This window comes from Homo sapiens, chromosome 5 (genome assembly GCF_000001405.40).
Source record: "Homo sapiens chromosome 5, GRCh38.p14 Primary Assembly".
Taxonomy (NCBI): Eukaryota; Metazoa; Chordata; class Mammalia; order Primates; family Hominidae; genus Homo; species Homo sapiens.
In genome coordinates, this window is record NC_000005.10 from 75,695,615 (window position 1) to 75,708,878 (window position 13,264).

The following is a 13,264-nucleotide window of genomic DNA, read 5'->3' on the forward strand; positions in this document are numbered from 1 at the left end:
TATGTTTCAGAAAAACTGTCATTTTCTCCAGTTTTTTAATAATAGCAAAAAAAACAAAAAACAAAAAAACAAACAAAAAAAAGTGGGGGAGGAGCCAAGATGGCCGAATAGGAACAGCTCCAGTCTACAGCTCCCAGCGTGAGCAATGCAGAAGACGGGTGATTTCTGCATTTCCATCTGAGGTACCGGGTTCATCTCACTAGGGAGTGCCAGACAGTGGGCGCAGGACAGTGGGTGCATGCACCGTGCGCGAGGTGAAGCAGGGCGAGGCATTGCCTTACTCAGGAAGTGCAAGGGGTCAGGGAGTACCCTTTCCTAGTCAAAGAAAGGGGTGACAGATGGCACCTGGAAAATCGGGTCACTCCCACCCGAATACTGCGCTTTTCCGAGGGGCTTAAAAAACGGCGCAACAGAAGATTATATCCCTCACCTGGCTCAGAGGGTCCTACGCCCACGAAGTCTCACTGATTACTAGCACAGTAGTCTGAGATCAAACTGCAAGGCGGCAGCGAGGCTGGGGGAGGGGCACCCGCCATTGCCCAGGCTTGCTTAGGTAAACAAAGCAGCCCGGAAGCTCGAACTGGGTGGAGCCCACCACAGCTGAAGGAGACCTGCCTGCCTCTGTAGGCTCCACCTCTGGGGGCAGGGCACAGACAAACAAAAAGACAGCAGTAACCTCTGCAGACTTAAATGTCCCTGTCTGACAGCTTTGAAGAGAGCAGTGGTTCTCCCAGCACGCAGCTGGAGATCTGAGAACGGGCAGCCTGCCTCAAGTGGGTCCCTGACCCCTGACCTCCGAGCAGCCTAACTGGGAGGCACCCCCCAGCAGAGGCAGACTGACACCTCACACGGCCGGGTACTCCAACAGACCTGCAGCTGAGGGTCCTGTCTGTTAGAAGGAAAACTAACAAACAGAAAGGACATCCACACCAAAAACCCATCTGTACATCACCATCATCAAAGACCAAAAGTAGATAAAACCACAAAGATGGGGAAAAAACAGAGCAGAAAAACTGGAAACTCTAAAAAGCAGAGCGACTCTCCTCCTCCAAAGGATCGCAGTTCCTCACCAGCAACGGAACAAAGCTGGATGGAGAATGACTTTGACGAGCTGAGAAGGCTTCAGACGATCAAATTACTCCGAGCTACGGGAGGACATTCAAACCAAAGGCAAAGAAGTTGAAAACTTTGAAAAAAATTTAGAAGAATGTATAACTAGAATAACCAATACAGAGAAGTGCTTAAAGGAGCTGATGGAGCTGAAAACCAAGGCTCGAGAACTACGTGAAGAATGCAGAAGCCTCAGGAGCTGATGCGATCAACTGGAAGAAAGGGTATCAGCAATGGAAGATGAAATGAATGAAATGAAGCAAGAAGGGAAGTTTAGAGAAAAAAGAATAAAAAGAAACGAGCAAAGCCTCCAAGAAATATGGGACTACGTGAAAAGACCAAATCTACGTCTCATTGGTGTACCTGAAAGTGATGGGGAGAATGGAACCAAGTTGGAAAACACTCTGCAGGATATTAATCCAGGAGAACTTCCCTAATCTAGCAAGGCAGGCCAACGCTCAGATTCAGGAAATACAGAGAACGCCACAAAGATACTCCTCGAGAAGAGCAACACCAAGACACATAATTGTCAGATTCGCCAAAGTTGAAATGAAGGAAAAAATGTTAAGGGCAGCCAGAGAGAAAGGTCGGGTTACCCTCAAAGGGAAGCCCATCAGACTAACAGCTGATCTCTCAGCAGAAACTCTACAAGCCAGAAGAGAGTGGGGGCCAATATTCAACATTCTTAAAGAAAAGAATTTTCAACCCAGAATTTCATATCCAGCCAAACTAAGCTTCATAAGTGAAGGAGAAATAAAATACTTTACAGACAAGCAAAGCTGAGAGATTTTGTCACCACCAGGCCTGCCCTAAAAGAGCTCCTGAAGGAAGTGCTAAACATGGAAAGGAACAACCGGTAACACCCACTGCAAAAACATGCCAAAATGTAAAGACCATCGAGACTAGGAAGAAACTGCATCAACTAACGAGCAAAATAATCAGCTAACATCATAATGTCATTGATCCTGTCAGGATCAAATTCACACATAACAATATTAACTTTAAATGTAAATGGGCTAAATGCTCCAATTAAAAGACACAGACTGGCAAATTGGATAAAGAGTCAAGATCCATCAGTGTGCTGTATTCAGGAAACCCATCTCACGGGCAGAGACACACATAGGCTCAAAATAAAAGGATGGAGGAAGATCTACCAAGCCAATGGAAAACAAAAAAAGGCAGGGGTTGCAATCCTAGTCTCTGATAAAACAGACTTTAAACCAACAAAGATCAAAAGAGACAAAGAAGGCCATTACATAATGGTAAAGGGATCAATTCAACAAGAAGAGCTAACTATCCTAAATATATATGCACCCAATACAAGAGCACCCAGATTCATAAAGCAAGTCCTGAGTGACCTACAAAGAGACTTAGACTCCCACATATTAATAATGGGAGACTTTAACACCCCACTGTCAACATTAGACAGATCAACGAGACAGAAAGTCAACAAGGATACCCAGGAATTGAACTCAGCTCTGCACCAAGCAGACCTAATAGATATCTACAGAACTCTCCACCCCAAATCAACAGAATATACATTTTTTTCAGCACCACACCACACCTATTCCAAAATTGACCACATACTTGGAAGTAAAGCTCTCCTCAGCAAATGTAAAAGAACAGAAATTATAACAAACTATCTCTCAGACCACATGCAATCAAAATAGAACTCAGGATTAAGAATCTCACTCAAAACCGCTCAACTGCATGGAAACTGAACAACCTGCTCCTGAATGACTACTGGGTACATAATGAAATGAAGGCAGAAATAAAGATGTTCTTTGAAACCACCGAGAACAAAGACACATCATACCAGGATCTCTGGGACACATTCAATGCAGTGTGTAGAGGGAAATTTATAGCACTAAATGCCCACAAGAGAAAGGAGGAAAGATCCAAAATTGACACCCTAACTTCACAATTAAAAGAACTAGAAAAGCAAGAGCAAACACATTCAAAAGCTAGCAGAAGGCAAGAAATAACTAAAATCAGAGCAGAACTGAAGGAAATAGAGACACAAAAAACCCTTCAAAAAATTAATGAATCCAGGAGCTGGTTTTTTGAAAGGATGAACAAAATTGATAGACTGCTAGCAAGACTAATAAAGAAGAAAAGCGAGAAGAATCAAATAGATGCAATAAAAAATGATAAAGGGGATATCACCACCAATCCCACAGAAATACAAAGTACCATCAGAGAATACTACAAACACCTCTATGCAAATAAACTAGAAAATCTAGAAGAAATGGATAAATTCCTCGACACATACACTCTCCCAAGACTAAACCAGGAAGAAGTTGAATCTCTGAATAGACCAATAACAGGAGCTGATATTGTGGCAATAATCAATAGCTTACCAATGAAAAAGAGTCCAGGACCAGATGGATTCACAGCTGAATTCTACCAGAGGTACAAGGAAGAACTGGTACCATTCCTTCTGAAACTATTCCAATCAATAGAAAAAGAGGGAATCCTCCCTAACTCATTTTATGAGGCCAACATCATCCTGATACCAAAGCCGGGCAGAGACACAACCAAAAAAGAGAATTTTAGACCAATATCCTTGATGAACATTGATGCAAAAATCCTCAACAAAATACTGGCAAACCGAATCCAGCAGCACATCAAAAAGCTTATCCACCATGATCAAGTGGGCTTCATCCCTGGGATGCAAGGCTGGTTCAATATACACAAATCAATAATGTAATCCAGCATATAAACAGAACCAAAGACAAAAACCACATGATTATCTCAATAGATGCAGAAAAGGCCTTTGACAAAATTCAACAACCCTTCATGCTAAAATCTCTCAATAAATTAGGTATTGATGGGATGTATCTCAAAATAATAAGAGCTATCTATGACAAACCCACAGCCAATATCATACTGAATGGGCAAAAACTGGAAGCATTCCCTTTGAAAACTGGTACAAGACAGGGATGCCCTCTCTCACCACTCCTATTCAACATAGTGTTGGAAGTTCTGGCCAGGGCAATCAGGCAGGAGAAGGAAATAAAGGGTATTCAATTAGGAAAAGAGGAAGTCAAATTCTCCCTGTTTGCAGACGACATGATTGTATATCTAGAAAACCCCATTGTCTCAGCCCAAAATCTCCTTAAGCTGATAAGCAACTTCAGCAAAGTCTCAGGATACAAAATCAATGTACAAAAATCACAAGCATTCTTATACATCAACAACAGACAAACAGAGAGCCAAATCATGAGTGAACTCCCATTCATAATTGCTTCAAAGAGAATAAAATACCTAGGAATCCAACTTACAAGGGATGGGAAGGACCTCTTCAAGGAGAACTACAGACCACTGCTCAAGGAAATAAAAGAGGATACAAACAAATGGAAGAACATTCCATGCTCATGGGTAGGAAGAGTCAGTATCGTGAAAATGGCCATACTGCCCAAGGTAATTTACAGATTCAATGCCATCCCCATCAAGCTACCAATGACTTTCTTCACAGAATTGGAAAAAACTACTTTAAAGTTCATATGGAACCAAAAAAGAGCCCGCATCACCAAGTCAATCCTGAGCCAAAAGAACAAAGCTGGAGGCATCACACTACCTGACTTCAAACTATACTACAAGGCTACAGTAACCAAAACAGCATGGTACTGGTACCAAAACAGAGATATAGATCAATGGAACAGAACAGAGCCCTCAGAAATAATGCCGCTTATCTACAACTATCTGATCTTTGACAAACCTGAGAAAAACAAGCAATGAGGAAAGGATTCCCTATTTAATAAATGGTGCTGGGAAAACTGGCTAGCCATATGTAGAAAGCTGAAACTGGATCCCTTCCTTACACCTTATACAAAAATCAATTCAAGATGGATTAAAGACTTAAATGTTAGACCTAAAACCATAAAAACCCTAGAAGAAAACCTAGGCATTACCATTCAGGACACAGGCATGGGCAAGGACTTCATGTCTAAAACACCAAAAGCAATGGCAACAAAAGCCAAAATTGACAAATGGGATCTAATTAAACTAAAGAGCTTCTGCACAGCAAAACAAACTACCATCAGAGTGAACAGGCAACCTACAAAACGGGAGAAAATTTTCACAACCTACTTATCTGACAAAGGGCTAATATCCAGAATCTACAATGAACTCAAACAAATTTACAAGAAAAAAGCAAACAACCCCATCAAAAAGTGGGCAAAGGACATGAACAGACACTTCTCAAAAGAAGACATTTATGCAGCCAAAAAACACATGAAAAAATGCTCACCATCACTGGCCATCAGAGAAATGCAAATCAAAACCACAATGAGATACCATCTCACACCAGTTAGAATGGCAATCATTAAAAAGTCAGGAAACAACAGGTGCTGGAGAGGATGTGGAGAAATAGGAACACTTTTACACTGTTGGTGGGACTGTAAACTAGTTCAACCATTGTGGAAGTCAGTGTGGCGATTCCTCAGGGATCTAGAACTACAAATACCATTTGACCCAGCCATCCCATTACGGGGTATATACCCAAAGGACTATAAATCATGCGGCTATAAAGACACATGCACACGTATGTTTATTGCGGCATTATTCACAATAGCAAAGACTTGGAACCAACCCAAATGTCCAACAATGATAGACTGGATTAAGAAAATGTGGCACATATACACCATGGAATACTATGCAGCCATAAAAAATGATGAGTTCATGTCCTTTGTAGGGACATGGATGAAACTGGAAATCATCATTCTCAGTAAACTATCGCAAGAACAAAAAACCCAACACCGCATATTCTCACTGATAGGTGGGAATTGAACAAGGAGAACACATGGACACAGGAAGGGGAACATCACACTCTGGGGACTGTTGTTGGGTGGGGGGAGGGGGGAGGGATAGCATTGGGAGATATACCTAATGCTAGATGATGAGTTAGTGGGTGCAGCGCACCAGCATGGCACATGTATACATATGTAACTAACCTGCACATTGTGTACATGTACCCTAAAACTTAAAGTATAATAATAATAAAAATAAATAAATAAATAAATAAATAAAACCCACTTACTATTTCTGCAATACTTTGTTTTACTTAAAGGCCAGTAGTATCAAAATAAAAATCAACTTTTATAGTTTTATCACTTACACATCATAGTTGCTATAGGAGTGGCTATAAAATGAATATCCATTGCTAAAATTGGATCTTTCGTTATTGCATAAAAGGAGACATTTCTATTAGTCACAACTACGATATGGTAAAGGCACAGTATGTCTCAGTTACACACAGGCTGAGCCATTCAAAGTATCTGTGAAATTCAATGGAGCATGTAGAACCGTTCCAGCAACCACTTAAAACCTGGCAACTCAAAGTACAGTTTCTGAACCAGTAGCAACACCTGGGAGCTTGACAGAAATGAGAACACATGGACACATGGAGGGGAACATCACACACCGGGGCCTGTCAGGGGGTGGAGGGTAAGGGGAGGGAGAGCATTAGGACACATACCTAATGCATGTGGGGCTTGAAACCTAGATGACAGGTTGATAGGTGCAGCAAACCACCATGGCACATGTATACCTATGTAACAAACCTGCATGTTCACCACATGTATCCCAGAACTTAAAGTAAAATCAAACAAACAAACAAGAGTCAAAAAAAGAAAAAAAGAAGCACGATCTTAGGCCCTGCTGAAGACCTACTGCATATGAAGCTGTAGTTTAACAGGCTCCCGCTATGATTCGTAAGTACATTAAAGATTGAGAAGCAAGACTTAAGACACTAAACTGATCTCAGGAAACAAAAGATTTTTAGAAAGTTTAACTCAAAAAAACAAAACAGTATAAATGAGAGTAAAACTATTACATTACATACTAAACAACTGTAATTGAAGAACTGCTGTACCGTACCTTAAGACCTGAACTCCAAAGATCAAGCACATTTTCCATCTTCTGAAGGTTTTCATCAGAAACAAGAAAATCGCTCACAAGTATTTCATGGGCATCTGTATGACTAGAATTTGTTGCTGGTGAGGAAGAGTCAGCTAAAAGATGTGAACTGAAAAAATCCATGACTGGGTGAGAAGGCTTCCTTGGCGATAACACTGGTGATGACTCTGAATAAAAGAAAAGTTGTAGCTGTCAAGCCAAATTGAAAATAACTCAAGTTGGTAAGGAACCATACTGGAAGGCTAAAAGACGTCTGCTACTTATGGAGGCTGAGAAAAAATGCAGAGAAACTACCTTTCAGGTGTACCTTAATCTATTTTTAATTTCAGTATTGTCAGTGATTTAGCACAGACTGGCATGAGATACCTCCTATACTCCCAATCCCTTCTCTCCCAGCAAATGACCTCTATCCCAGATAAGGATCCTTCATATATCCAGGTCCAGCCTGAGGTGAAACTATCATCATCTGTATCATATCACCATTAATGAAGTGCTTTCTGTTTCTGTAATAAAAACATTATAAAGATTAGTTCTCATAACACATGCTACCCTAAAAAATAGGTATTATTATCTCCATTTTACTGATGAGAAACTGAGGTTCAGAAAAAGTTAAGTAATTGACCAAGGTCAGTGTGGTTGTATATAGGTCAATATTACTCTGTAAGTTTAACACTGGGATTGGTTTTAATACTATTAAAATTCGGCCGGGCGCGGTGGCTCATGCCTGTAATCCTAGCACTTTGGGAGGCCGAGGCGGGTGAATCATGAGGTCCAGAGATTGAGACCATCCTGGCCAACAAGGTGAAACCCCATCTCTACTAAAAATACAAAAATTAGCTGGGTGTGGTGGCACGCACCTATAGTCCCAGCTACTCGGGAAGCTGAGGCAGGAGAATTGCTTGAACCAGGGAGGCAGAGGTTGCAGTGAGCCGAGATCGTGCCACTGCACTCCAGCCTGTGACAGAATGAGACTCTGTCTCCAAAAACAAAAACAAACAAAAAACCTATTAAAATTAAACAATTTAAGTAGAAAGAGACTCATAATTTAGTTTTGCAGATACTCTGTTGTTAAGTACACTGTTAGGCTTCAATGTAGAGGTGAGAAATGTACACATCTCTATATGTATGTGCATATATATAAAACGCTCATCCCCTGCCCATATCCAGGGAGGTGGGGGAGAGTCAGGGCCCTAAAGAGAACAGGTATCTATTTCTAAAAAAGCACTGAAAGGCTGGGCACGGTGGCTCATGCCTGTAATCCCCGCACTTTGGGAGGCTGAAGTGGGCGAATCATGAGGTCAGGAGTTCAAGACCAGCCTGGCCAACATGGTAAAACCCTATCTCTACTAAAAATACAAAAAATTAGCCAGGCATGGTGGCACGTGCCTATAGTCCCAGCTACTTGGGAGGCTGAGGCAGGAGAATTGCTTGAACCCGGGAAGCAGAGGTTTCAGTGAGCCGAGATCGTGCCACCCACTCTAGCCTGGGTGATAGAGCGAGACTCTGTCTCAAAAAAAAAAAAAAAAAGCACTGAGAAAGAAAAGTTAATATTTTCTCACATATTTATGCTGGAATTAGAGACTATCTGTCATCACTTGTCACATATCTCACATTTGCTACGAGCATCCTAATAACAAAGATGGAAGAGCTTTCTTCCTACTGAAGGAAAGATGAATCTATGATAGAGAACTTGTTACTTAAATCTTTCAAGAATTCTTTTTTAAAATTTGTAAGATTTTAGTTTTTTTGCAAACATATTCTGCTTATGTAAAGACTTCTTTGCAAAAGGGAAAATAATTCCCTAACATGTGTGTTTGGTATAAAAAACATAACACAAGGTCTGGGCTAGTCATACTATGAAATGCTATCTGCATGTTCTGAGGATGGTTAAGAAACCCAAAGAACAGGTGGAATGACAATGTACATGAATATTCTCTTTTACTTGATTTTGCCAACTAGATCTGTACTCACAAAGAAAGCGATAGACTCTGCTTTTCAATTTAAAAAATATCTCAACACTTACCTTTTAAGAAATCAAATCATGTAACTTCAGAACTTGTAAGGGCTGTCAGAGATTATGATGCCTAAGACTTCTACTTACAAGTGAGGAAACTAAGGGTTAGAGGCATTACTTACGTGGTGACAAAAATGGTTACCACATTAAATAACATTAAATAGAAAAATATTCCACAATATTACATTTTAATTAATTATTCTGACTAGTCAAGAAAAAAGTCTCAGTCCAGTTCTAGTATGCTTTTAAAAGTTCTTTAAAGCCAGGCATGGTGGCTCATGCCTGTAATCCCAGCACTTTGGGAGGCCAGGGCAAGTGGATCACTTGATCTTAGGAGTTTGAGACCAGCCTGGGCAACATAGTGAGATCCCACCTCTACAGAAAAGTTAAAAATTAGCTAGGTGTGGTGGCATGTGCCTGTAGTCCCAGCTACTGGGGGAGGGGGCGCTGAGGCAGGAGGATCACTTGAGCCAAGGAGGTTGAGGCTGCAGGGAGCCCTGCACTCTAGCCTGGGTGACAGAGTGAGATCCTGTCTCAAAAACCAAACAAAATTAAAAAAATACAAAAAACAATCCCCCCAAAAAGCCTCTTTAAGATTTGCTAATCTTCCCTTTTAACAAAGACAAAGCAGACTTTTAAAGAAAAACACTAAATGATGGCGTAACAGGTGGCATAAAGATAGGATGAAAATCCTTACACTGGTACGCAAATGCCTGAAAGTTGGGAAACAGTGCATTGGTTTACATAAAAACTTGAATTGGCCAAACTATCTAATATCCCATTAAATCTTTTAAAAGACTTGCCCTCTAACTTAGCAATTTTAAGAAAGGATACTACACACTATAATGCATTGACCTGTCTTAATTGTACTATTTTGGTATCTTATCAAATTATTTTAAATATTATCACTTAAATTAGCAATAATAGCATTTTAAAATCCTGCTAATAAATAATATGCTGAAATTATTCCTCTTACTACATAGATAATATTCATCAAACCACAAAATGTTGTATATTAATACAAATAAGCTAAAGAAAAATCATACCATCTGTCTTTGAATGACTTGAAATATGGAAATCACATCCTTTTCCAACTTCTATTGCAGTTTCTCTTACTTCAGAGTTATTTCCTGCCAAAAAGAAAGCTTTTTAAAATTAAACTGAACCACTCTTAAATAAAATGTCTAATCACACATAATTTAAGAAGGTAGCAGTACATAATATTTTAGAACAAACAAAATACAACATGCTGGGGATATAGGAACACTAAAACAAAGGACAAGAACAGATAAAAATCTGAGACTAGAAAAAGACTTACTATATCATTGATAAGCTCCAACTTATGCACCAAATATAGATGAGAGATAATGTAGTCTACTATAGCATTCAATTCACACTAAGAGAATAAGTGGGTGAATGACATTAGAACTTAGAAAAGGATCTGCTCTCTTATGACACTGGGTATTTCCAGAGGCCCGCTGCTTTTCACTAGCCACAATCAAACTCAAGTGGCACTGGCTCCCCCAAAACATTTGCTTCCACTTCAGGAACCTGTAGTCAACAGATGGCAAAAAGGAAACTGGGAAAAACCTCTCAAGAATGACTGTTAGAGGCTTACACATACTTTGCCAATTTCCACATACCATGCCTTCTATCAAGCAACTGAGATACCAAGAATAAAGAGAATGTGGGATGATGAATTTACATAGAAGACTTTAACAAAGTCTACTTGTGAATCAAGATGACTAAAGGATATCTAAACTTACTATATAACGTATGTTTTAATCTCAAATCCTTTTTGGAAATGGCAGAGAATAAATAAATGCTATCTTACATAAGAGAAAAGAACAATGGTCTTAAATCCCAGATGATTACCTTGAACTGTTGACTACAGCATCTCGAAAGTTTTTTCTTTTTTTTTTTTTAAACAGAGTCTTGCTCTGTTGCCTAGGCTGAAGTGCAGTGGCATAATCATGGCACACTGCAGCCTTGAACTCCTGAGCTCATGCAATCCTCCCACCCCAGCCTCCCAAGGTGCTGGGACTATAGGCTGCTCTGCCCGGCTAATTTTTTTGTAGAGCTAGGGTTTTGCTATGTTGCCTAGGCTTGTCTCAACCTCCTGGGCTCAAGCAATCCTCCTGCCTCAGCCTCTGAAAGTACTGGCATTACAAGCATGAGCCACTGCCTGGCCTGTATTTTAAGGCTCTCATCCTGTGGTCCTGTTTGTTGTTCCACTGCAACAGGCCAAAGACAGAGGAACAGTGAAAAATCCACGTCTACAGAGAATGAGAGACAACAGACACTAGAGCTATGACTTAGCAGAAGCCCAGGAGCCTTTGGCCTCTGAGTAGGCTATGTCATGCGCCTTCAAGGACAGGGATCCTTGGAGTTACGCCTATAGTGTGATAACTGGTCCTTATCAGGACTGTTTTAGGAAGGCTTTCTGTGCCCTTTGAAAGAACATTTATTTAGAGTTTGGGATGTTGTCTTCACCTGAATAAGGAATGGAGGTAAAAGGAGCTTTATCCTCTTTTCTCCACTTTTCACTCATCTATCAACACACATCCTGGTTTATAGTAGCTTTCAGTTCTGTTGCTGACATGGTCCACAGATGGGTTCACCTTGTGATAATTATTCAAACAGTCCTCCATGCCCATATAAATACTGCTGATAAAGCACTAGCATGAGGTTTGTAAAGTAATTTAAGAGACTCTCAGGGTTACCATCTTTAATTTTAGTCTTGGGCATTTAGTTTTCAGGTTAATCCTGGCATAAAACTGTTGGAACAAGTACTGAGATACAACATACCAAAAAGCCATGCAGTTGCCATAGCATTGCTTCAACTTTATTATTCTTCATAAAAGTAAGAGTCAAATGAAGTTCAAAGAAAAATCAAGCTGTCACACGAGAGTCAGGAATAATATATTAAAATGTAAAAAGCTCCCCTAGATGATACTAATACACATAAATGGTTGAGAAGAATCACTGATCTGGACAGGCATTTTCACAATCCTGTCAGTATCATTAATAAACTCAGTAATATTTTAAATTAAGAGATATCTTGAAAAATATATATAACCTTGACTATGAAGAATATCATGAATTGTAGAAATTCTGACATCTGGCACCAATTCTCCCTTAGGATGAGATGACTGTGAAGCACAGGGTTCAATATTTGGAGTCACTATAGCATAATGAAGCAGTTCTTCATATTCTTCCTAAGAGAGGCCAATAATCAATAATGTAGTGTAACAGTTACAATGTTATAATATATTCAACTGAATTTGTTTTAAAGAAATTTAATTACCATAATAGAGTCCCATGCTTATTATATTACAAAGTTTTACCACTTATTCCAAGCTTGAGTTCCTCGAGTGCTTCTTGTGTGATTTTTATATTTATGATTAACAGTTTGAAGAGGGCTGGGTGCAGTGACTCATGCCTGTAAACTCAGCACTTTGAGAGGCTGAGGCAGGAGGATGGCTTGAAGCCTGAGCAACAAAGTGAGACCTCATCTCTACAATAAATTTTTTACAAAAATTTGCTAGGTGTGGTGGTGTGTGCCTGTAGTTGTAGCTACTCAGGAGGCTGAGGCAGGAGGACCACTTAAGCCTAGGAACTGGAAGCTGCAGTAAGACAAGATGGCACCACTGCACCCCAGCCTGGGTGACAGAGCAAGATCCTGTCTCTGGGGAAACAACAACAAAGTATGAAGAGGTGATAAGGTTCTGTGAGTGACTCAACACTGAATCAAAAATTTTCTATCACTTAATTTTATATGTCAGATTGGTTTAATTGAAGATGAGACATGCTATTAAAAAGATACCATTTTTGGAACTGAAAAAAAATTATGTAACCTAAACAAAATATAGAAGCAAACTGGATACTTAAGTTTATAAAACTGCAATGGCCTTCTATTACCCCCCAATTTCAAATGTACATTTATCAAGGCAGCTTAACTGTTTTTATTAACTGATTGCATTTGAATTTACAAAATAAATCTATACTACTGTAGTTTTGTTTTCATCTGCTTTTTTATATCGGAATTTTAAGTAAAATTGTTTTTTAAAAAAGCTTATGCTTTTATATATTTGAAAACTGCTAGCTTTTATGGCAATTACATGTACAAGAGTGACCTGGTTTGCGCTTCAACCTTGATTTCTTGATTTACAATTTTTTTCTTCTTTTTTTTTGAGATGGAGTCTTGCTCTGTAGCCCAGG

At 39.7% G+C, this 13,264-nt stretch overlaps 1 protein-coding gene across 10 annotated transcripts in view, besides 1 other annotated feature; it reads right to left on the reverse strand.

Annotated features, from left to right (window-relative positions):
- Window positions 1-13,264, reverse strand: part of POC5 (POC5 centriolar protein) — a 43,314-nt gene that overhangs the window by 21,491 nt on the left and 8,559 nt on the right. For all 10 annotated transcript variants that reach the window (XM_011543160.2, XM_047416725.1, XM_005248436.2 and 7 more), the window contains 3 exons: window positions 12,123-12,261; window positions 10,090-10,173; window positions 6,991-7,196 (listed from right to left, as the gene is read on the reverse strand). In XM_011543160.2, coding sequence (XP_011541462.1) covers window positions 6,991-7,152 — 162 coding nt within the window. In that variant the 5' untranslated portion in view covers window positions 7,153-7,196; window positions 10,090-10,173; window positions 12,123-12,261. The remainder of the gene's footprint in view (window positions 1-6,990; window positions 7,197-10,089; window positions 10,174-12,122; window positions 12,262-13,264) is intronic.
- Window positions 432-970: an enhancer, noted in NCBI's record as "NANOG-H3K27ac-H3K4me1 hESC enhancer chr5:74991871-74992409 (GRCh37/hg19 assembly coordinates)". NCBI's record gives its function as "activates a minimal SCP1, AML or CMV promoter by ChIP-STARR-seq in naive and primed H9 embryonic stem cells {active_cell/tissue: H9 hESC(naive and primed)}" and the evidence as "EXISTENCE:reporter gene assay evidence [ECO:0000049][PMID:30033119]".